We start from the raw sequence: 24,703 nt of genomic DNA, 5'->3' as shown, positions 1-24,703 counted from the left end.
TGGTATCGGGCCCCTGGCTTTGTCCTCTGGCTGCTGGAGGTTAGGACCACTAGCAACAATACTCCAATGGGTGATGCCAGCAAAAGTGCTTCTTTGGGGCAGTTGTAGCAGGATCTATGCTTGTTCGCATATGCCAACAACAGTGGCAGCAAGGCGGGTCCATGCTCAGCAGCTTAGGTGGGGTACTGGTAGGCTTGGGGGCAGTCGCCTTTTTGTACACATTCACACTGGTGGTGGTGTGTGCACAGGGACAAGGCACTGATGGGGACAGCGCTATCGGCTCCATGTGTGTGTTTTTACTGGCAGCAGCAGCAATGCGTGGGGGACAAGGCCACTGGCCTCCATGCACTTATGTCGGCAACAGTGGCATGGTGGGGTACATGTGCACACCCATGTCAGAGAAGGAGGGCAGGCACCATGCTGGCTAAGCAGTGTGGAGTGGACGTGGGCAAATGAGCGCAGGCAAAGTGACGCGAAGGAGGCTGCAGTCAGGGGAGGGTGTGGGTGGGTTGGTGCACGTCGGCACAGGCTGCTCTTTTGGAGCTCTCTGATGGTATGACAACAAAGGATCTATGATATGGATTCACAAAACGCACCCTAGTTGGGCATCTGAGGCTGCACTGCAAGCAGACTTGGACAGGCCAAGAAGAGGCTAGCAGACAGTGGGGCACTCAGATAAGACTGCTCACATCTCACAGGCAAGACTGTCCTGCTCTGTTCAGGTCCGATAGTTTCTGTAAGGCTAAACTCTCCTAGGGGAGCATGGTGAGCCTTGAGAGATGGGCATCCCTGGTCATGCTCCACTTCAGACACTCCTGCACCAAACCCCCTGGGCTCCTTGCAGGCTGGAGTCCTGCCCCTACTACCTCTCTAAACGGTTATCCTTGCCAGCTTAAGTGTCCATGGGGGTCATGGGGTCTTTGGCTGCCAGGATTCCAGAGGTCCATGGTAAGGGTGGGTCACTCCTTGCCCATTCAACTCATCCCTTCCCCAAGAGTCACTGGGGGCCAGGAATAAGTCCTAGTGTGCAGTAGCCCCATGCAGTGTTCCCAGCTTCCTCTCCCTTCAGCCCAGTATCTGTGTCCTCCCTCTGTCCACTCTTAATGCCTTTCCTCCAAAGATCTGTTAAATGTGCACCAGTCTTCCTGATGTCCCGGTCCCTCAGTGACAGATGTTCTTCCTGGCTGCATCTAGTTGGCCATCTTGAATCTTAAATTTCTTAGGGATAATAAAGGTAATTGTGGTTAAGTGTATTTAAATCACCAGCATGGGTAATAGAAAAGGAAGAAGAAAAAGAAAAAGACTTTTCACCAAAAAGTAAGTCTGAAGGAATGAATACTTTCCAGATGGGAGAAAGGGCATTCCAGGCCAAGGTTACACAAGTAGGAAGGTACAGGATGAGGACAAAACATGAGTTCTTTCGGTCATTGGACAAACATTGTATGAGGACTACTATGGGCATAATTCTTAGCACTGAGATTATGTGAGAGCAGTGAAGAAGCACTGAGAGCAGTGAACAAGGGCCAACCTCCCTGCCTTACAGGTTTTGCATTCTAGTGGTGGGGGTGGAAGGAGGGAGGGCTGGAGAGGATAGATAATAATGATGAGTGGAGAGCCTTCTAGGCAGAAGAAATTCCCTACTGACGTGACCTAAGGAAAAGTGTGTCCAGGTGTGTTGGAACAACAGCTGGGAAGCCAATGTGCTTGGAAGGGAGAAATCTATGAGAGAACAGCAGGAGAGAAGGTTCCAGAATTACTGAGAGGGTTTTAGGACATGATTTAAATTTTGGCTTTTATTAATAGTATGAACTTATTGAGGAGATGAATGGGATGAGTTGACCCAGTGATAAAGCTGTTAAAAGGATCACTTTGGCTTCTGTGTTGAGAACAGACTTCAGGCAACATGGGTAAAGGCAGAAAAGCCAATTAAGAGGCCACTGTGTCACAGCTGCTGATAGGCTGGGAAAGGTAAAGTGTGAGAATTAACCAATGGTAGAGCAGTCACAGTGACCTTGATAGGAGCAGGTCTAGTGATGCAGCAAGGGTGAAACCTGGTTTGAGTGGGTCCAACAAAGAATGGAAAGAGAGGAATTAGGAAAATGTTGAGATGTGTCTATTCCATTTAGTGCTGCAATAAAGAAATCTGAGGTCGGATAACTTATAAAGAAAAAAAATTTGGCTGGGTGCAGTGGCTCAGGCCTACAATCCAAGCACTTTGGGAAGCCAAGGCAGGGGAATTACTTGAGTCCAGGAGTTTTGAAACCAGCCTGGATAACAGCAAAACCCTTTTTCTACAAAAAATTAAGAAATTAGCCAAGTATGGTGGCACGCACCTGTAATCCCAGCTACTAGAGAGGCTGAGGTGGGAGAATCACTTGAGCCTGGGAGGTCAAGGCTGCAGTGAGCTGAGATGGTGCCACTGCACTCCAGCCTGGGTGACAGAGCGAAACCCTGTCTCAAAAAAAAAAGAAAAGAAGAAAGAAAAATATTTTATTTGGCTCACAATTCTGGTGATTGGAAAATTGAAGACTGGACATCTGCATCTCAAGCTGCTTCCACTCAGAGCAGAAGGCAGAAGGGGAGCCAGTGTGTGCAGAGATCACGCAGCCAGAGAGGAAGCAAGGTAGTGGATGGGGGGCAGGGGGTGGAAAATGCCAGGCTCTTGTGAACAACCAGCTCTCCCAGAAACTAATAGAGTGAGAACTCACCATTAAGGAAGGGCACTAAACTATTCATGAGGAATCTACCTTCAAGATCCAAGCACCTCCCATTAGGCCTACGTCTCCAACACTGGGGGTCAAATATCAACATGAAGTTTGGAGGGCACAAACAAACCACATCCAAATCATAGCAAGGTGTTTGGCTGTGAACAAACAAAACAAAACAAAAAAAAACAGAAAAATGGGGCAGTAACTAGAGGAGATGAGAGATCAAAAGAGAGGCCTGATTTTTTATTAGACAAAGTAGAGATTGTGTATTGATGAACAATCCATTGACTGATGATATTAACTGATTGATATGGATTAATATATAATTAATATCAATTGAGTGAGTTGGGAGTCTGTGGCAGGTGGATCACATGAGGCCAGGAGTTTGAGACCAGCCTGGGTGACAGGGCGAGACCCTATCTCAAAATCAATTGATATTAATTGATAATACAGAAGGAGGGTACAACTGCTGCTGTAATTACCTTGAATAAATGAAAGAAGAAGAGCCATTGGGCACAAATGAAAGGGTTGCCCTTAGCTAGGATCATGGACAGTCTACCCACAGAAACATCAGGGAAGGCAGAGTATGTAGACCCAGGTGCAGAAGGTGAGTGGACAGCTGGTGAGGGCCATGGAGGTCTATTCAGATCACTTCTGTTTTCTTAAGGAAACTGACAGAGTGATGATGGGAGAAGTATGAGAGGTCAGAAGAAAGAAGGGAAGGAATGAAAACTAGGTATCCAGGAGAGTGTGTTTATTATCAGAAGGGTTATCTAGGAGAAGGTGAATGTTCCAGGGAAATATGTGGTTGCCACACAGAATTAAGAGTCCACTCAAGGTTGGGGTCATTTAGAGTGAGCCCAGGAAGCATGGTTGTGTGTCTTTCTGCAATTATATTATGCTGGGTGGGTTTAGTTGGGTGCTGAGATTATGCAAGGGAGTGATTATAATGACTGATCATGGAATTTAAACCAGGTAAAGAGAATAGTGAGAATATAATGTGGGGTGAAAAGAACTAGGAAGAGTGAGCTGCAAAGATTAGAAGTGGTAAAGAAAGACTGAGATGATGGCTTGGATGTGAGATAACACAGTTTAAAGTAGGTCCATGGAGTAGAGTGGCTGCTACAGAGAGAGAACAAAATTGTTGGAAAAGGAGAAGTCAAGAAACCATGAAACGTGGCTCCTGGAAGATCATCTACTTGGATGCTGAAATCAGGTGTCATTTCAGAGAATGGCAGTGAACCTGAAGGTAAAAATCTTCAAAAAACCAGGGAGAAGAACTCAGGAGGTTCATGAACAGAGCATGCCAATCTGCTAACGTGAGACTAAAAACTGGGGCAGGTAGGGTGGAGGGGGGAAAAATGGTCCAGAAGTGACCAGAAGGAGAAGGGAGGACTTCCACTTTGCTTCAGAGCGAGGGGTAGGAGGCCTGTGAACAGCTACACTAGAGAGGGCCACAAGGGAGCAGCATCCTCAGGACGAGCAGAGTTTCTATTACAGCAAAAAGAAGACTAGAAGGAATTTGCTTTGGATGACCAGGTTTAGCAATACTAAAGCATCAAAACATAACATCCAGTATGAGGGTGGTAGTGCATGCCCATAATGCCTTTCTGAGGCTGAGGGCAGAATCATGAAAGCCCAGGCTCATGCTTGCTCTCTCTCACTCTCTTTATATATATATGTGTGTGTGTGTGTGTGTGTGTATAAATATATAGGGTTTATGAATATATAAAATATATAGTTTATATATATAATATAGAGTATATGTCTATTTTATATATATAACCATATACAATGTCAAAGTCATGCTAACAAAATTGTGTATAATTCACTGTATTTTCTGAGGCAAAACATATTTAGTATCTAAACCTGTTACACAGTCACAACTCTTATTTTCCAAGCAGATTACGATAAACATTATATTCTATAGGAACATCTCCATACCCAAGATGATACCTGCTGATAAAAGGTTGAGAATCATGGCAGAGGAAGGTGATCCAGAATTGTCTCTGAGGTGGAACCAGATAAGATGCTGGAAAAGAGGGAGAGACCAGAGTAGAGAGACTCTCAAGGTTTGTTTTAGGGGATGGGGAGGATGAATATGCCAATGAAGGAGATGGGGAAGAGGACAAGAAGACATAAATGCTTCATTGAAATACAAGTTACATTTGAGATGCCTTTAGGCTAACAAGTTGGGCTGTCCAGGAGCCGTTGGAAAAAGGAATCTAGAATTCATACAGTAGTGAGGCAGGAGAGACAGATTTAGAAGTCATCATATAGGCATGTGGAAGCTGAAATAGATGAGTGGGTGAAACTTCTCAGTCTTTGGTTCCAGAGGTGATGGAACAGCAGCTCACCTGGCAGTAGCCAGCCCATGCTAACTACTAAAAAAAATCTCATAATGTATTGTCTATTTTGAGTCAAAATACATTTATTTTATTATTTTTTTTTTTTGAGACAGAGTTTTGCTCTTGTTGTCCAGGCTGGAGCGCAATGGCGTGATCTCAGCTCAAGGCAACCTCAGCCTCCTGGGTTCAAGAGATTCTCCTGCCTCAGCCTCCCAAGTAGCTGGGATTACAGGCATGCACCACCACGTCTGGCTAATTTTGTTGTAATTTTAGTAGAGACAGGGTTTCTTCATGTTGGTCAGGCTGGTCTCGAACTCTCAACCTCAGGTGATCCACCTGCTTCGGCCTCCCAAAGTGCTGGAATTACAGGCATGAGCCACTGTGCCTGGCCCAAAACACATTTAATATCTACTCCTGTAATAGGTGTGAGCAAGTTTTTGGACATTGAGGCAGATTGGAGGTTACCATGCTCAGCCATATTGGATCTTATGGCAAAAAAAAAAAAAAATCAGTGACACTGATCCTGTCTGTATTGTTCAATAGTGCCTCCAAAACATTCATGTCCACCCAGAGCCTCAGAATGTGATCTTATTTGGAAACAGGGTCTTTGCAAATATAATTATTTAAAATGAGGTCATATTGGATTAGAATGGGCCCTAAGTCCAGTGACTGGTGTCCTCAAAAGAAAAGGAGAGGACACAGAGACACATAGGGAAGAACTCATGACGATGAAGGCGAAGATGAGTGGAGACAAGCCAACAAACACCAGGGATTGCAGGCAATGACCCGAAGCTAGCAGAGAGGCATGAGGTTTCCTCCTGAGAGCCCCTGGCCTCCAGAACTGACAGAAAAGAAATGTATGTTCTTTTAAGCCACCCAGTTTTTGGTACTTTGTTACAGCAGCCCTTGGAAAATAATGTACTGTCTTTATCTAAAACTTTGATATTTGATTATAGATTGCTTGGCATTAGATTTAACTTTCTTTAATATCACATGAAAATATTTATTTGGATTACTGAGTTTTTTGGCGTAGCCTTAAATTTTACAGCTGAAGCAAGTGCCTCACTCACCTCATCCTAGTCCTGGCCCTGGGAATGTTTTAATTACTTTTATTAAGATATCAACAGGCAAGTTTCCTCTCAGTCTATTTCCAGACATAGATATATATCCAAATAATAAAGAGTAAAAGCAAGCATGATTTCTAAATAAAAGGGCTTTCAACAGGGATTAATTACATGTTCTCCCTCACTGAAGAAACACAACGCATCTCAGAAGGGATACAGATACTGGCATACCTTGTTTAAAAACAGCAGCCACAGTCTGTTAATTCTATCTGCTTCCCATGAGAAAGAAAAATCATCCCATGGCAGTTTAATTGGCCTTCACCCACATGTAGGGGGTTTATGAACATGTAGTCCCTTTGGGAAAATATCTAAAGAAAAATTCTTCAGAGTTGAATATGACTATGAGAGGGCTGGATAAAGTAAGTAGCAGTTTTTAAACAGGGTCCTAACTTTTTTTATACTCTTCATGGAGAGGTGGAGGAGGAAGTGTCTATGGCCACACCTCTTGACTATGGGCAGGCTTGTGACTGTTTCAACCAACAGACCACTGTGGACATGATAATGAAGCTTGGCAATCCAGCCTTGTGCACTAGAACACTCATGCTTGGAACCCTGAACCACCTGGTAAAAAGTCTGACTACCCTGAGATCACTAGCTGTAAGGAAACCAAATCACATAAGGCAGCCAGGTGTGAGTGTTCCCATCAGCAATTCTAGTCTTTAAGCCAGCCCGGCTTAAGAGATGAGACCTGACACCACAAGAAGCAGGGATTATTCCTTCCGTGTCTGATGTGAATTTCCCCAAAATTCATGAACATAAGAAATGGTTGTTTCAAGATGCTTAATTTGGGCCAATTTGCTATGTAGCAATAGTAACTGCAACAGAGTATGAGAGTCAAAGATATTTGTATCAATATGAATTGAGATTAATTATCCAAAATATTTCAATCATCTACAGAATAGATGTTTGAAAGTTCACAATACTCTGGAATAAAATATTTTCTACATAATGTAAAGCAAAGCATTATTTGCAAACATGTAAATACATGTTGTCCCATGAGAGGTTTTCCATTATAACTTCAGAGTAATTAAACATACAAAGACCAATCCCTTGCTAATCTTTCTGTTCAAATTGCTTAATTATGAGAGCTTCTGTGTTCATTGTAAGACAGAAAGATAAGGTTAATAAATCTTGTCCTTTGAACTCTCATTTCAAATTTTATCCCTGAGTGCAGATGTTGTTAAAATGTTTTCTCAAGCTTCTCAGTAACAGAGTTGGTTAGTACTTTTCTGGTGAGGATATTATTTCATGTCTGTATGTTCTAAAGTTCTAGCAGTGTAACATTATTGCTGATTTTAAAGACTGATACACCCCGTCTGGGAAGTGAGGAGCGCTTCTACCCGGCTGCCCCGTCTGGGAAATGAGGAGCGCTTCTGCCCGGCTGCCCCGTCTCGTAAGTGAGGAGCGCCTCTGCCCGGCCGCCCATCATCTGGGATGTGAGGAATGCCTCTGCCCGGCCTCCCCATCTGGGAGGTGAGGAGCACCTCTGCCTGGCCGCCCATCATCTGGGATGTGAGGAGCACCTCTGCCTGGCTGCCCTTCGTCTGGGAGGTGAGGAGCGCCTCTGCCCGGCCGCCCCGTCTAGGAAGCGAGCGCCTCTGCCCGGCCGCCCTTTGGGAGGTGAGGAGCGTCTCTGCCCAGCCACCCCATCTAGGAAGCGAGCGCCTCTGCCCGGCCACCCTTCGTCTGGGAGGTGAGGAGCGTCTCTGCCCAGCCACCCCATCTGGGAGCTGAGGAGCACCTCTGCCCGGCCGCCCATCATCTGGGAAGTGAGGAGCGCCTCTGCCCAGCCGCCCATCGTCTGGGAGGTAAGGAGAGCCTCTGCCCAGCCGCCCCGTCTAGGAAGCGAGCGCCTCTGCCCGGCCGCCCTTTGTCTGGGAGGTGAGGAGCGTCTCTGCCCAGCCACCCCATCTAGGAAGCGAGTGCCTCTGCCCGGCCACCCTTCGTCTGGGAGGTGAGGAGCGTCTCTGCCCAGCCACCCCATCTGGGAGCTGAGGAGCACCTCTGCCCGGCTGCCCATCATCTGGGAAGTGAGGAGCGCCTCTGCCCGGCCGCCCATCGTCTGGGATGTGAGGAGCACCTCTGCCTGGCCGCCCATCATCTGGGAAGTGAGGAGCGCCTCTGCCCGGCCGCCGATCATCTGGGATGTGAGGAGCGCCTCTGCCTGGCCGCCCCGTCTGGGAGGTGAGGAGCGCCTCTGCCCGGCCACCCATCATCTGGGATGTGAGGAGCGCCTCTGCCCAGCCGCCCTTCTTCTGGGAGGTGAGGAGCGCCTCTGCCCAGCCGCCCCATCTAGGAAGCGAGCACCTCTGCCCAGCCGCCCCATCTGTGAGGTGAGGAGCGCCTCTGCCCTGCTGCCCCGTCTGGGAGGTGAGGAGCGCCTCTGCCCGGCCGCCCATCATCTGGGAAGTGAGGAGCACCTCTGCCCGGCCACCCCGTCTGGGAAGTGAGGAGCGCCTCTGCCCGGCCGCCCCGTCTGGGAAGTGAGGAGTGTCTCTGCCCAGCCGCCCCGTATGGGATGTGAGGAGCGCCTCTGTCCGGCCGCCCCGTCTGGGAAGTGAGGAGCACCTTTGCCCAGCCACCCCGTCTGTGAGGTGTACCCAACAGCTCTGAAGAGACAGCGACCATCAAGAAAGGGCCATGATGACGATGGCGGTTTTGTCGAAAAGAAAAGGAGGAAATGTAGGGAAAAGAAGGAGAGATGAGATTTTTACTGTGTCTGTGTAGAAAGAAGTAGACATAGGTGACTCCATTTTGTTCAGTACTAAGAAAAATTCTTCTGCCTTGGGACACTGTTAATCTATAACCTTACCCCCAACCCTGTGCTCTCTGAAACATGTGCTGTGTCAACTCAGGGTTAAATGGATTAAGGGCGGTGCAAGATGTGCTTTGTTAAACAGATGCTTGAAGGCAGCATGCTCGTTAAGAGTCATCACCACTCCCTAATCTCAAGTACCCAGGGACACAAACACTGCGGAAGGCCACAAGGACCTCTGCCTAGGAAAACCAGAGACCTTTGTTCACGTGTTTATCTGCTGACCTTCTCTCCACTATTATCCTATGACCCTGCCACAACCCCCTCTCTGAGAAACACCCAAGAATGATCAATAAATACAAAAAAAAAAAGACTGATACAATCATTCGTTTGTATTTTAAAACTACAAAAATTAAATTAACCCCCAACAATGCTCCTGGTTCCCCCTCCCCATTAAAATGCTGTATATAGTAAGGATAATAAAGTCCTATACATATATAAAACTGTCCTTGGAATAAACAAGCTTCATGTTTCTACCATCCTGGGATCCAGGTTTCCAACTACTTTATGGTTCACTTATAAACTTAAAGAACCACCACCTTGGAAGGTAGAATTTTTTGAAAAAGAGAACAAGATCGAATAACGGTGCTTCTGTGATTTGTAGAGGTCAGGGAAGAAATATAGCATTATACAGATATGGGAATAATTTGTCCTAACATAAATGTTTAGATTGAAGATCACAGAGAGTATCATCTTTTGTCTCCACTATCCAACTACAAAATGTCACTAAAGTGAACAATTATTTTTAAATTATGGAATACACAGCAGTTTATTTTCTTTCAGTATAGGCAGCTGAAACATAAATCAAACTTCAGGAATACCTTCAAATACTTTATCAAAATATATGTTCCAATCAATTTCTGCAAGTTACGGTTGACCAAGCAGAATTACAAACACCAAAGAAGCAAATTGGGGTGGGCACAGTGGCTCACACCTGTAATCCCAACACTTTGGGAGGCCGAGGCGGGCAAATCACTTGAGGCAAGGAATTTGGGACCAGCCTGACCAACATGGTGAGCCCCCATCTCTACTAAAAATACAAAAATTAGCCAGGTGTAGTGGCGCCTGCCTGTAGTCACAGCTACTGGGGAGTCTGACGCAGTTAGAATCGCTTGAACCTGGGAGGCGGACGTTGCAGTCAGCCGAGACCTCACCACTGCACCCCAGCTTGGGCAACAGAGCGAGACTCTGTCACAAAAGAAAGAGAGAGAGAGAGAGAGAGAGAAATTGGTAATAAAACAGCACACTTTGGTCGGTTGTTATATTATAGTAAATTATATTATTCATTGTAAATTCTATTATTCATTGTAAATTGGAAATCAGTTCTTTATTACATGTTCAGAGACTAGAAAGTTGGAAATAGCAGCCACAGTTCTGCCTTCTTGGAGGTGTATAGTCTTAGACAAGTAACTTTCTGGGTTTTAGCTTCCCAGTTGTAGATCAAAGATAACAATATCCACTGGCAGAACTGGGAACACGTGCCACCACACTGAAAAGGCTACTGAAAAGGCCATGTACTCTGAAAACACTGATATTTTATTATTTCATAGAATAGTTCACAATACTTTGTCATTGAATAGACAATGAACGCCTGTGATTACTTCTGGGACAGCTAAAGATACAGATTTACTCCTAAAGGACTCAAATCACCTAAGGAAATGCATTACAGATGAATGTACAAAGATTTATTGGAAATGTGTATTTCCTAGATTTTGTAGAATCCACAGACGTTATTTGGAATTTAGTTTTGCAACATTTTAAGTACCTCTCTGCTTATATGGATGGTTTTTCTCCTGTTTCTGTTTTTTTGTTCTGAGACTGGGTCTCACTCTGTTGCTCAGGCTGGAGTGCAGTGGTGCAAAGGGTCCTCCGCCTCAGCCTCCCAAAGTGCTGGAATTACAGGCATGAGCCACAGACCCAGGCCCTCTGGTTCTAATTAACTCCTTACACACGCTGTGCTCCCTCTTCTCCTGACCCCATGTCTCCCTCTCTTTGCTTCACCATTCACACACACTCCTACTTTCACAGGACAGCTATGGAAGAAAATAGAGGGCAGCTTTTACCAAAAGAAGTTTATGTCTATCTGCATATGAACTTTTTCACCCCCCACCAAAAAACAGGCTTAAGACAAGAAAACAAGCCTTATGAAAAGACATTTTTAAAATTATTCTATTTCCTTTTATGGCCTTTTAAGGGAAACTAAAGTTGGCTCCACCATCAAGAAAACAGAAGTTAAAGAGATAGAGGAAGCAAAGGGGCAGGGGAGTGGAGACAAGGGAAACTCAGGAAAGGAACCAAAAACATGGAAAGGGGAGAAAAGACAAGTGAGAGTGGAAGACAAGAAAAGAGGCCCTGGACGGCCAGGTACGGCGGGTCCTAACGGCGGCAGTATTCAAGCGGGCCGCGGCGGTGTCCTGGGTAAAGCAGTGGCCCCAACTCCACCTCTCTTGGGCAAATCACAGAAATCTTTGAGACTAATTAGCTGTAAATTGCAGACAAAACCTTCGGCCCTTATAAGTTTCTTTCTTTTCTAGTGCAGCTGGATTTTCATTTGGTCTTTAGTTTACAAAACGAGTAACCGTTTCTCGAAGCTCTTTAACTGCTTTTTATGCCCCGCCTTTCAAGATGCTATTCCTGGGTAATTCAAATGAAAATTAAACTTAATTAAAATTTCATTAATTTCATCAAGCCAGAATGCGCATTATACTTCCCAGCCTCCATATACAGTTGTCATTTCATATGGCTGGCACTCCACTTTCTCCCAGTTCACACGCCGAGAGAACGCATGAACACAACCCAAAACTTCCAAAGAAACCTAACAGCGAAGACATTTTGCAGTTACTTCCTTTTAACAGAACTCACAGGTTAAAAGGCGATGAACTAGCTCGAGGGGTGCCCGCGTTTTCACCCTTTTAGGAAATGAACAGCTTAAAGGTTTAACTTGAAGTTTCAGGAAATGACAAAATTACTTTTACTTTTCCTCAGACCCAGGAAGAGTCAAGCTCGCGGCAATAGAGCCGAACTAAGACAGAGGATTCTGCGGCTTACGTCACAAGAGGCGGCGCCGCGGAGGACCAAGGGAAAAGACCGCCCTACGCCACGGCCGCGCAAGGGTAAAACGCTAGCGGGTAAGTTAGATCCGGCCGCCGGATGCAGTGGCTGGCGGAGGGATCCTCTCTACTGCAACCACGCGAAGCCGATTGCGCCGCGCATGCGCCGGGAGACTCGGATTTGCCAGTTTTCCGGCTTTTGAGCCGCTCTTCCGGCGAGTCCCTGGGCTTCCGAGAAATGACGAAGTGGGCGGGGTCCTCCTTCTCGACCGTTGTGAAATCAATTCGCCTCCCCCGGAACCTGCTGCCGGGTCTTGCACATGTTCCGTGGCAGAGCTGACCGCGATCGTTCCTGGCTTGGATGCCTTGAGGCTTGGCGCCGGCGGCCGGACCTGCAGGGGTTGCGGGGGACTCAGGCCACTTGTCTGACGGGGCGTAGGCAGCAGACTACCACTGAGCTCCGGGAAAAGGGAAAGGGGAAACTGATCAGCCCCCTCCAGTCACTTACCCCACAGTTAAGCCCTCCAGAAAACCCACCTCCCTGCTTGACCTCTGATGGCCGTTTCAGGGCTTGTGACGATTATGATATCGCCAGAGTCCTTCCGTGAAAATTGGAAATGCCATAATAATACTTAAATTCACTTACCCCAAAACAAGCAGTGTGTTACGAGGTTTATCCAGAAGATGAAGAGCAGAGCAAAAAGCAAATGATAGCCGTGGCTTTCACGTTTAAAAACAGTTCTTAGGCAGCGCCGGGTCGCGGTCCTGTAGTCCTAGCTACATCGGAGGGTGAGGCGGGAGGACTGCTGAAGCCCGGGAGTTCGAGGCCAGCCTGGGCAACATAGTGAGACCTTGTCTCTAAAAAGAAATAAGAAATGTTCCTGAAAGTTTTCATGACAGGGTAGAGTCCAAGCTTTTCCAGCATATGACTTATCTACTGCTACCTTTCTCCCTGAACTCCGTCAGCCCAGGGAAGAATCCAGGTTGGGATTTATGTTTACAGATCCAAAACTAAGCACAAGAGATCTTTAAATCCCATGACAAAACAGTGCCTGAAAGAGCTGACCACCAGATCCAGCTTTTGAGTTTGAAGCTGAGATCGTCCTGCATACAGCAGGATTGAGTGAATGAATATAAATAAATTATAGGTATAAAAACATGGTCCACAGCCACACCACCCTGAACTTGCCCTGTCTTCTCTGATCTTGGAAGCTAAGCAGGGTCTGACCTGCTTAGCTAGTCCTTGAATGCGAGACCACCTTGAAACACTGGGTGCCGCAGGCTTTTGAAAAATAAAATATATATATACGTTTGATCATTCCCTAATTTTGTAATTCTGAAAATTAAGTATACACTAGATATTTTTATATCTAAAGGCAAGACAGTAATCCAGCCAACATTTTACACTGATCCCTCTTTCCCACCTTAAGAAATAATTCAGGTGGGGTTTTTTTTTGTGTTTTTTGTATTTTTTTGAGGCAGCGTTTTGCTCTTGTCACCCAGGCTGGAGTGCAATGGGCGCGATCTTGGCTCACTGCAACCTGCGCCTTCTGGGTTCAAGTGAGTCTCCTGCCTCAGCCTCCTGAAGTAGCTGGGATTAGAGGCATGCGGCACCACACCTGGCTAACACCGCAAACGGGGTTTCACCATGTTGGTCACGCTGGTCTCCAACTCCTGACCTCAGGTGATCCAGCCACCTCGGCCTCCCAAAGCGCTGGGATTACAGGCGTGAGCCACCGCGTCTGGCCAGTTCAGGTGTTTTTTAAGAGATGAGGTCTCCTTATGTTGCCCAGGCTGGACTTGAACTCCTGGGATCAAGTTATCCTCTCGCCTTAGTCTCCTGAGTACCTGGTACTACAGCTGTGCCCAATCACACCTGCCTTAACTGTGTTGTTTTTGAGAGTCCAGTGATAGTATATGAAAATGCTGTGAAAACTATAAAAATCAGGTATCAAATATAAGTCGACTCTCAAGACTAGGATGTAGATACCTCTGAACGTTTCCTGATTGCTGAAAATAAAAGTCTTGTTCTGTGCTATTTTTAAGATGGGGCTGATAAGCAATATCCAGTTATGTGCTGTATGCATGTGCCTGCGTGTGTATGTGCATGTGTGTGTGACAGTGACACTATAAAGAAACAGTTCCCTGAGGCAAAACTAGACTAGGTCTCCAGTGACTTCAATGTTACAATGCACATAGTTTAAATCGAAATTCCCTCTAAAGCACCTTGTGGTAGATCTGGAGAAAGCTTGTTCTTTTAGTACTAAGGTATCATTGTTTTCACTGTGGTAACAAATGCTATACTTGTTCCAGAGAACCAACATTACAGTAGAGCCCTTGTGTGTGGTCATGGAAAGAACACTGGACTGGGCATCAGAAAAACCACCGTTCTAATTTCACTCTGCTACTGGATCTAAAATCTTGGTCGAGTCCTTTCACATCTCTGAACTTCCATTTCTTCACATGTAATGGTCTTTGTTCCTCTCCTGTATGCTCCTGTAGCATTCTACCCTTTCATGTAGCATTCCATGTACTCTATTTGTTCATCACTTTGGTCTTAGTGCCTAGCATAACATAGTTTAGTGAATACTCAGTAGAGATTTGTTAGAGTCATTCTAACTGTACAAAATTTCATTATGGGCCATTTTTCTTTGATACTGATATTTGTTAGAATGCTATTTACTGTGGAAGAATAATCCCATGGATTACTTATTAATTGCAAGGGTGTTAAGGTACTTTTACAATGGAGAAATCTGATGGATACCACCTTAACAAATGATAAAAAGTAGCCAATAATTGAACAAAAAATTGGGCATCGTGTGCCCCTAGATGTGAAGCATGGAGATACAACATTACCTATGGAGTATTCCTTGAAAAATCTTTAACCTGAATCTAATCATGAGGAAATAATCAGACACATCCAAATTTAGGAACATGCTTCAAAGTAGTTGGCCTGGAATTGTGAAAAATATCACAAGACACACACACACACACACACACACACACACACACACACACAAACTGCTATAGAATTTAAACAGACATGACAGCTATACGCAGGGAACTTGATGTGGTGCTGGTTTACTTTTGTTTTATAGTGTTCAAAATAGTTAATGAATGTGTTCCTGGGAGAAAACTAATTAAAATGTGTAGGGAGCTTCGGAATAGCTGATTCTCATTATTTATAAAAGTTTCCTCTTGAAATTCTATTTCTGTTGAATGTTTATTATGAAATAGAAAACATTACTAAAAGGGGTCAGCCACTTCATTGCTCAAAATAAAATTACAACTTAATCCTTAAGAGGAAAATGGAATCATTTTAAAAATGTCATTTCCAGGGACTTGCTAGGTCCTTTCTATTTTTAATTGTACAGGGCTATCTCCAGTCCCTGAAGTCACTGCTCCAGCCCCAGCTACTTCTGTAGCCCTCCTTCTCCTGTTTTCAAGTTTTGTAATTATTAGAGACAAACAATAAAAAGAAATGAACTACTAGAAAAGCTTGAAAAACTAAATGTTCTTAATATTACAGTTTCTGATTTATAGCTCTTGATTTTCTTGTTGAGGTAAACACTGCTTTAAACCCTCCAGAGTTTCTGAGAGTCCCCTAAAATGAGGGTCTGTTCCTCAGCCCTTCACATGCCTGACATGCCTGCCCTCGCCCACCTCTTCAGCCACATTAGTCCCTAGTATACACACGTATGCACCACATTCTAGCACACCACAGTATTTCTTGTGTCAGTCTTTCCATTAAGATGGGTTTAAGATTAAATAAGTAAAAAGGAGTTAAGTGTTCGTGTAACTGAAAATCCCAGCAGTAGAATACAGGGCATGGCTGCAGGGAAATAAACTAAGTGATTGGATTCTGTTTCTAGCTCTGGTCTCTGCTCTTTTCTCTGCTGGTTCCATTCTCCAGCTGGTTCTCTTTTGTGTCAAGATGGCACTCAGTAGCTCTGTGCTTAAATCCTCCTCTCAGTAATCCCAGCAAGAACAAGCACTTCTCTCTCCTCCCCTTGCAAGTGTTCCAGCAAGAGTTCTGGACATGACAGACATTCAGAACCAATCGCTGTGTGGGAGGGAAGGGCGATGGGAGACTCAGATTAGTTCACAAAGTAGGAAAGAGGTTAGTCCTACCCAAACCACTTTTGCTGAGAATGGAGAAGTTGCAGGTCCTCAAGGGAGAACTGAGGAAGGGAGACTGGGCACTGGGCAGGCTGAAACACAGATGTTCACTGTATTTCTCAATGCACCCAGCGATCTCATACCTCCCCATCTTGGCACCTGTTTTCCCTCTGCCTAAAATGGTCTTCCACACTTATCCTTCTGACCAATGTTTATGAATGTAGTCTTTAAAACCTAGACCACATATTACCTCCTTTTTGTTACCTTGTCAAAAAAAATTCCTCCATCCTCTGAACCCCTTCTGTGCATTGTATCTGTTTCTATTATTACCAGACTGAGTCAAAATTCTTTTTCAAGGCATGGCAATTCTATAAGTCATATATGTTCAGTGTAATATGTGTGTGTGTGTATCTATAGACTCCACATTCTAGCGTACCACAATATTCCTTTTATCAGTCTTTCCATTAAGTTGGATTTAAGATTAAATAAATAAAAAGGAGTTATGTATTCATGTAACTGAAAATCCTAGGGGTAGAATATAGGGCATGTCTGCAGGGACATAAATTAATATATTTTTATACATATATATTAATTTACATATATATTAATTTACATATATATTAATTTATATATATTTAATGCCATTCAAAAAGTGGCCTGTGGCCCAAGGACTGGCACCTGACTCTGAACTTATTACCCATCTTCAACGAGGTAAGTGAAGAATTGAGAGTAAACGTTTAGAAACTTTTATGGCATGTTGACAGAATAATTTGATGTCTGTTGAATCTAATGATAAACAATGCAGGCTTGTATTTTCAATGTCTTTAAAAATTTCAGCTGGATGAGGTGACTCAGGCCTGTAATCTCATCAATTTGGGAGGCTCAGGAGTTTGAGACTAGTCTGGGCAACACAGTGAGACCCCATCTCTACAAAATAAATTAAAAATTACCCAGGCATAGTGGTGCAAACCCTGTAGTCCCAGCTACTTGGGAAGCTAAGGTGGGAGGATCACTTGAGCCCGGGAGGTCAAGGCTGCTGTGAGCCATGATCATGCCATGGCACTCCAGCCTGGGTGACAAAGCAAGACCCTGTCTCAAAAAAAGAAAAAACTAAAAATCATTTTACTAATATCTTTATTGGATTTTTACAGAAGTATCATTCCACACTAGTTTCCCAAATGTGTTTCTTCACTATAGATTGAGAAGCATTGCAACAGAGAACTTCAGAAAGTAAAATATGAAAGCCTCCATCCCACCTACCTGTGTTCCCCAATTTTCACCAAAATGATTTTGTTACCTTCCCCAAAGGCAGCAGCATCATATCTAGCCTTCCAAATATATACATATTGCTTCCTTTTTTCTTTTTTTTGTTAAATTTTGAAATGAGGTCTCACAATATTGTCCAGGCTGGCCTAAACCTGTGACCTCAAAAGATCCTTCAGCCTCAGCCTCCCAGGTAGTTAAGATTATAGGCACATACCACCATGCCTGGCCAGATATATACATATCTCTATATGATATATACATAATGTTATACAAAAGGTATCATACTATACATGTTGTGTTGGAACTTCCTTTGGTTCACTTAATAATATATCTCAGAGATCCAACCTTTTATTTTATTTTTTTTTTTAGAAACTTTTAAAGAAACATTCCCAATGCCTAGAATAGAACCTGGTACTTAGTTGTCAATTAATAAGTAAGAATTTAAAGATGAATGAATGAAGACAAACTGTTCACAGCTGGCAGATCAAAAATCCCTGGCCAGAACAACAGGCATTAACCATTGACCAACACCACATAGGGAATCTGCATTTCCAAGGACTGGAAAATACATGAATTAATCTATAATCATTTTATGTGCTAACAATTTTTTGTGGTAGGTGTTATCATTTTATTGGTGAGTAAACTGAGCTTAAATAATTGCCTAAATAAGCAAATTAATTTACCTCAAGTCATGTAGCTTTGGATGGTATTTTTTTTCCCAGTGGAGGAATAAATACGCATTTCTTCTCTTCACCTGCAATTTTCACTGGTTGTCCCACGCAGAATCAGAGTCAGGAAAACTGTACGTAGAGAAGCTTTTATCATTTTATATGTTCCTGTCTTACAAAGCTCCCTCTGGCTTAAGGCTGGTGGCCCACATCTGATAACATTAAAAAACATAATTAATATGGCTTATCTGATTTTCCAGTGCTATTGAGATAAAGATATTACTGAAGTTTACCTTTACTTGAAGAATCTCTAAGGTCACTGTATATTTTCTAGGGCTGCTGTAACAAGTTACAGGAAGCTTGATGGCTTAAAACAACACACATTTATTTTCTTATAGTTCTGGAGGTCAGATGTCCTAAGTCAGGTTCACTGGTCTGAAATCAAGGTGTCAGCAAAGCCAGATTCCCTTGATGGGTCCTGTTTAGTTATCATGCTGACAAGTATGATTTAGTCTTGAATTGCTGACTAAAACCAAGACTAGTTCGTTCTGACATTAAATACCATAAAGAATGAATCTGTCTAAAGACTGACTTGATTAGATTATTTGCAATCAGCTAATATTTATTATCTACTATTTGCAAGTACCTCTTTGGACCTTAGTTTTCTTGTGTGTAAAAAAGAGAGACTGAACTGCATAATATTAACTTTAGCTCTAAAAGCAAATTTGTGGGTTTGTTGACTTTATAGTTGTTTATGAAATTGCCTTTGGCCATACATCTCCGTCACATATACCCAATTTCCAGACCTATCTCCAAAACTGTCCCAGAGCCTGCGTGTATACCAGACACCAAAACCCTTCACCATACTGCTTTCTGTGAGTTTCTACCCACTCCCCAGCCCCCACAATATACACAATCTCTTTGGTTATGGCAATTCCAACAGGCCTCTTGTTCTGCAGCCCGTGCCTGTATGGAGCAGAAGTTATGGACTATTTAAGTAGCCCACTGTAAGAAAACAAAGAACAAATGTGGAAACACAGCTGATCTGCTACAAAGTGCTGCAAAGAGAACAGGATAAATGGGGGCCCTGGACCCTCTATTAGGGAGAGAGGGCTGTATTGGTAGGACAGACACGTGAGGATAGAATTAGCTCCTGAATGGAAAAGAAAAGGCAAAACCAGGTTGTCTTTGAAAGGCACTAGGAAACAAGTGGGCAAATTCAGTCCACGGGTGCTGATTATGTGCTTAACATACACACAGTGTCTACCAGGTGCTGTAGAGGATGCAAAATAAATGTAAAATGGTCTTATTTTTGTCCAGACATACACCCATGATAAGATCAGTAATAACGTTTAATAGTAAGGAAACATGTCAAAATACATACCAGAGGTCATAAATGCTAGGAGAGGCTCTGAGAAAGGAGAAAATTAGCATAAGTTAGATTAGGTGGGGGAAGGCTTTCGGCAAAACGTAGAACATCCCAAGTCTCAAAAAAGTTGCTAGGATTTGATTAACAAGGAGGAGTAGTAAGAATTTGCAGGGTTGAGAAATAGAAGGAGGGAAAGTAAATAACATGTTTGTTAGTGAGCAGACAGGTCCAGTTGGTCTTGGTTCAGGCAGAAACACAGTGGGGAATAAGGTGAGGTGGTAATGTCACAAGGAAACAGAAGACAAGGTAAATTTAGATTGTGGAAAGCCTCAACTGCCAAAAGATATTTAATCTCTATCCTTTACACTTGATCTTAGTCAAAAGGCCAAGAAGTCACAATCTCTATTTTTTATCTCCAAAGTTTTTATTCAAAAAAGTGAGGTAGGGAAATTGGTATTTCAAAAAGATTGAGAGATTTCCCAGGACAAATAAGGATGGGAGAAAATAGAGACAAGGAGACCATTTGGGAGGCTACTATAATGGTCCAACCATGATGTAACAGCAGATGTGTAGCTGTGAGAATAGACAGAACAGGGAGATTCAAAAACAATTTCCTTCCTAGAAGGAAGGACCAACAGAACTTGGTGATTAACACAAAAAGAAGAAATAAGAACCAAAAATGAGTCTGAAGTTCGAGATATGTTTATGACCAGAGACAAATAATTTTAGACCTGCAAGGGTCAGACTCCCTCACTTTAAAGATGAGAAAACTATGTTTGCCCAAAGTCTCAGGACTAATTCTCAACAGAGTCAGCAGCAGAATTTCCAGGCCAGGGCTATCAGGAGATGTACCAGGCAGCGTATGCCTAAGTGTTCATTACAAATCATTTACAGAGTGACTGTATTTCTAATGAAGAGAACAACCAGTTCAGAGTGTGTGTACTCATATAACAGAGAGGTCATGTTTTATAACAGTCATTTAACTACATGAACAGCTCATGCATAAAGTCAGGTGCTCCTCCCTGCCATCAATAGAAATGTGATTAGCAACTTCTTAAGGTTATACCCTCTCCATAATGGCAACAAGCATGACGACTTATCCCTTCTCTGCCTGCTTTTTACACTTGCTGGTCACCTTAACATTTGTCTTTCTGTGTATTGAGTGTAGCTCCTTCTAGCTGGGGACTTAATTTGCCTAAGTTTTGGTGGCAAGGTATTAAATTCCTGTGGTCTACTGGTGATTGCTGAAGAAATTAATGGAATGATGCCAATTGTGATTTTAAGATTAAAGAACCTGAAATTTAAATAATGAAAACCATGCTCCCCAGAGAGGATACAGAGTCTAGTAAAATGAGAACTAATTTAAACATCAGGTGTATCATTCTTCAGTAGCCTCAGGTAGGCCACTGATAATTCCACTTGTCTCTTCAGTTGTCACTGGAAGCCTGCCTGTGTTGAAACAGTAATATGTAATGATATGTTTACTTATCATTGGATTTCCTTTTAGACATGGGTGAACTCAGGGTCTACTATTCAGACCTCTGCTGTGTGTGTACAATTACAGACTTACTATTACATTTTTTCTTAGAGTGACAAGGAATTCAATCATTTACTTTCCAGTAGTCTCATCTTACTTACCTGGATTCATTTCTAATAATGCATTTATAGTAGGTTGGTGCAATAGTAATTGCGTTGCTATTAAAATGGCAAAACCGTAATTACTATTGCACCAACATATACAATTGAAACATGGGCTTGGTTGCCGGGTGCAGTGGCTGATGCACTTTGGGAGGCCAAGGCAGGTGGATCATAAGGTCAGGAGTTCAAGACCAGTCTGGCCAGCATGGGGAAACCCCATCTCTACTAAATATACAAAAATTAGCCAGACACGGTGGCGTGTGCCTGTAGTCCCAGCTACTGGGGAGGCTGAGGCAGGAGAATTGCTTGGACCCGGGAGGCGGAGGTTGCAGTGAGCTGAGATTGTGCCACTGCATTCCAGCCTGGGCGACAGAGCAAGACTCCATCTCAAAAAAAAAAAAAAAAAAAAAAAAAAAAAAGGCGGGGGTGGCTTGGCCAGGTGCAGTGTCTCACAACTTGTAATCCCAGCACTTTGGGACGTGGAAGCAGCAGGATCATTTGAGCCCAGGAGTTCAAGACCAGCCTGGGCAATGTAGTGAAATTCTGTCTGTACAAAAAATAAATGTTTAAAAATTAGCTGGGCTTGGTGGCATGTGCCTGTAGTCCCAGCTATTGGGGAGGCTGAGGTGGGAGAGTCACTTGAGCCTAGGAGGTCAAAGCTGTAGTGAGCTTTGATCATGTCACTGCACTCTAGCCTGGGCAACAGAGTGAGGTCCTGTCTCAGTAAATAAATAAATAAAATAAAAACAAAAAAACATGAGCTTCACTCTTCCAAACTTTGAATCCTTTATAATTGTGACTAGGTCTTACCCTTTCCACTTTTGTTTTCTTTTTCTTTCCTTTTCTTTTTTTTTTTTTTTAAAGGGGGGATGGTCTTACTTTGTTGCCCAGACTGGGCTCAAACTTCTGGGCTCAAGCGATCCTCCCACCCTGTCCTCCTAAAGTGCTGGGATTACAGGTGTGAGCCACTGCGCCCAGCGGTCTTTCCCAATCTGCATTTTAATGTTGATGTTTTGTAAGTAGGTACATTTGGAAAAGCAACCTTCCTCAAAGTAACAGAAACAAGGTTAACACAGACAAGCCCTGTGGATTACTCCTATAATCCCAACACTTTGGGAGGCCTAGGTGGACGGGTCTCTTGAGCCCAGAAGTTCCAGAGCAACTAGGGCTGCATAGTGAGACCCCTGTCTCTACAAAACAATACAAAAATTAGTGGTGGTGCACATCTGTAGTGCCAGCTACTTGGGAGGCTGAGGTGGGAGGATCACCTGAGCCCAGAGAGGTCGAGGCAACAGTGAGCTGTGATCATGCCACTGCATTCCAGCCTGAGTAACAGAGTGAAACCCTGTCTCAAAAAAAGGTGTGTGTGTGTTGGGGGTGGGGGTGGGGCGGCGGGGGGAGGAAAAGAGAAAGAAAAGAATTTCCAAAGTATGATTTTTCTGGAATTTGACCCTGAAAGAATAGGACAGAGTTATCATTTTTTAAAATTATTTTTTCCTTCCATCCACAGATATAGACTCATTTTTTTTAAAACCTCCATCCTTACAAAACCTTGGGGAGTAGAGCCACTAGCCCCAATGCCTTCCATCCTCTGGATTATCCATGATTTTTTTTTTTTTGTCACCTCCAATTAGGGTATGTCATAGATTTTTAAAAAATGAAACTAAAGTTTAAAATAACATGACAGTTTGAAGAGTTAATGCTAAGTAAATACCTATATAAAATATTGACCCACCCCCTCCACCTTTGTTGAAGCTGGAGGGAGGAACAGTAAAAACAATCATGTGTTGTCAATAAAATGAAAGGTTCTGTCAGAAATGAGTGGGAAATGGGCACAAAATTATGGAACTGCCCTGGATGGCTCTGCTCTCCTGGAAATGACTGCCAGATACAGGAAGCAGAGAGTAGAGGTCCACTGGGAACAGATCTCAGAAGTAGAGAGGAGCACTGCTAGAGAGAAAGGGACCTTCCTCCCACCCTCATCCCCCAGACTTCTCCCTCCTATGCTTGTGAACCTTTACTGGATTAACCATGAATGTAGTGGGTAAAAATATAAAGTATATCAAGACATCACCAAGCCAGCTTATTGCAGAGGCATGGTGGAAGACTCTAAAGAGGAGAAAATCTTCTATTAACATATGTCTTAAAAATAAGTTAAATTGGTCGGCAAAGCCTGAGTTCTGTCCTCTCACCCTCCTCCCTGGACAGCATGAGCTTCACCACTCACTCCGCCTTCTACACCAACTACCGGTCCCTGGGCTCTGTCCAGGCACCCAGCTACGACTCCTGGCTGGTGAGCAGCATGGCCAGCGTCTGTGCAGGCGCCGGGAGCTCTGGCTGCCGAATCTCCATGTCCCGCTCCACCAGCTTCTGGGGCAGCATGAGGTCCGGGGGCCTGACTGCGGGGATGGCCGGGGTTCTGGCAGGAATGGGAGGCATCCAGACCGAGGAGACCATGCAAAACCTGACAACCACCTGGTCTCCTACCTGGACAGAGTGAGGAGCCTGGAGACCGAGAACCGGAGGCTAGAGAGCAAAATCCGGGAGCACCTGGAGAAGCAGGGACCCCAGGTCAGAGACTGGAGCCATTATTTCAAGACCATTGAGGACCTGAGGGCTCAGATCTTCACAAATATTGTGGACAATGCGTTCTGCAGACTGACAATGCCCATCTTGCTGCTGATGACTTTAGAGTCAAGTATGAGACAGAGCTGGCCACGTGCCAGCCTCTGAAGAACAACATCCATGGGAACAAAATCCATGACACTAATGTCACTCGGCTGCAGCTGGAGATAGATTGAGGCTCTCAAGGAGGAGCTGCTCTTCATGAAGAAGAACCACGAAGAGGAAGTAAAAGGCCTACAAGCCCAGACTGCCAGCTCTGGGTTGACTGTGGAGGTAGATGTCCCCAAATCTCAGGACCTCACCAAGATAATGGCAGACATCCGGGCCCAATATGATGAGCTGGCATGAAGAACCAATAGGTGCTGGACAAGTACTGGTCTTAACAGATTGAGGAGAGCAACACAGGGGTCACCACGCAGTCCGTCGAGGTTGGAGCTGCTATAACGCTCACGGAGCTGAGACATACAGTCCAGTCCTTGGAGATCAACCTGGACTCCATGAGAAATCTGAAGGCCAGCTTGGAGAACAGCCTGAGGGAGGTGGAGGCCTGCCACGCCCTGCAGATGGAGCAGCTCAACGGGATCCTGCTGCACCTGGAGTCAGAGCTGGCACAGGCCTGGGCAGAGGGACAGTGCCAGGCCCAGGAGTACGAGGCCCTGCTGAACATCAGGGTCAAGCTAGAGGCTGAGATCGCCACCTACCGCCGCCTGCTGGAAGATGGCAAGGACTTCAATCTTGGTGATGCCCTGGACAGCAGCAACTCCATGCAAACCATCCAAAAGACCACTATCTGCTGGATAGTGGATGGCAAAGTGGTATCTGAGACCAACGACACCCAAGTTCTGAGACATTAAGCCATCAGAAGCAGGGTACCCTTTGGGGAGCAGGAGGCCAATAAAAAGTTCAGAAGTCAAAAAAAAAGTTAAATTATATTACTCTCAAGTCATTACAAATATAGGTGATGATTTCATTG

The 24,703-nt window shown here is 44.2% G+C and overlaps 1 long non-coding RNA gene and 2 pseudogenes across 1 annotated transcript in view, besides 3 other annotated features; 2 read left to right on the top strand and 1 right to left on the bottom strand.

The window, feature by feature from the left end:
* LOC101928236 (uncharacterized) overlaps positions 1-13,547 on the bottom strand; it is a 220,247-nt gene extending 206,700 nt beyond the window's left edge. The window contains exons 1-2 of the long non-coding RNA XR_007096141.1: positions 12,692-13,547; positions 11,858-12,498 (exon numbers count right to left, since the gene is read on the bottom strand). This is a non-coding gene — a long non-coding RNA (uncharacterized LOC101928236). The remainder of the gene's footprint in view (positions 1-11,857; positions 12,499-12,691) is intronic.
* Positions 8,863-9,364: an enhancer, noted in NCBI's record as "NANOG hESC enhancer chr3:156895672-156896173 (GRCh37/hg19 assembly coordinates)". NCBI's record gives its function as "activates a minimal SCP1, AML or CMV promoter by ChIP-STARR-seq in naive H9 embryonic stem cells {active_cell/tissue: H9 hESC(naive)}" and the evidence as "EXISTENCE:reporter gene assay evidence [ECO:0000049][PMID:30033119]".
* Positions 11,699-12,898: an enhancer, noted in NCBI's record as "CDK7 strongly-dependent group 2 enhancer chr3:156892138-156893337 (GRCh37/hg19 assembly coordinates)". NCBI's record gives its function as "activates an origin of replication core promoter dependent on BRD2, BRD4, P300/CBP, MED14 and CDK7 cofactors, with strong dependence on CDK7, by STARR-seq in HCT116 cells {active_cell/tissue: HCT116}" and the evidence as "EXISTENCE:reporter gene assay evidence [ECO:0000049][PMID:35650434]".
* Positions 12,033-12,412: an enhancer, noted in NCBI's record as "active region_20742". NCBI's record gives its function as "activates an Ori minimal core promoter by ATAC-STARR-seq in GM12878 lymphoblastoid cells {active_cell/tissue: GM12878}" and the evidence as "EXISTENCE:reporter gene assay evidence [ECO:0000049][PMID:35858748]".
* Positions 13,207-13,329, top strand: RNA5SP146 (RNA, 5S ribosomal pseudogene 146; annotated as a pseudogene).
* Positions 23,268-24,643, top strand: KRT18P34 (keratin 18 pseudogene 34; annotated as a pseudogene).

This window comes from Homo sapiens, chromosome 3, assembly GCF_000001405.40.
Source record: "Homo sapiens chromosome 3, GRCh38.p14 Primary Assembly".
Taxonomy (NCBI): Eukaryota; Metazoa; Chordata; class Mammalia; order Primates; family Hominidae; genus Homo; species Homo sapiens.
Note: the sequence above shows the minus strand (reverse complement) of the source record. Positions and strands in the feature narration are given on the sequence as shown.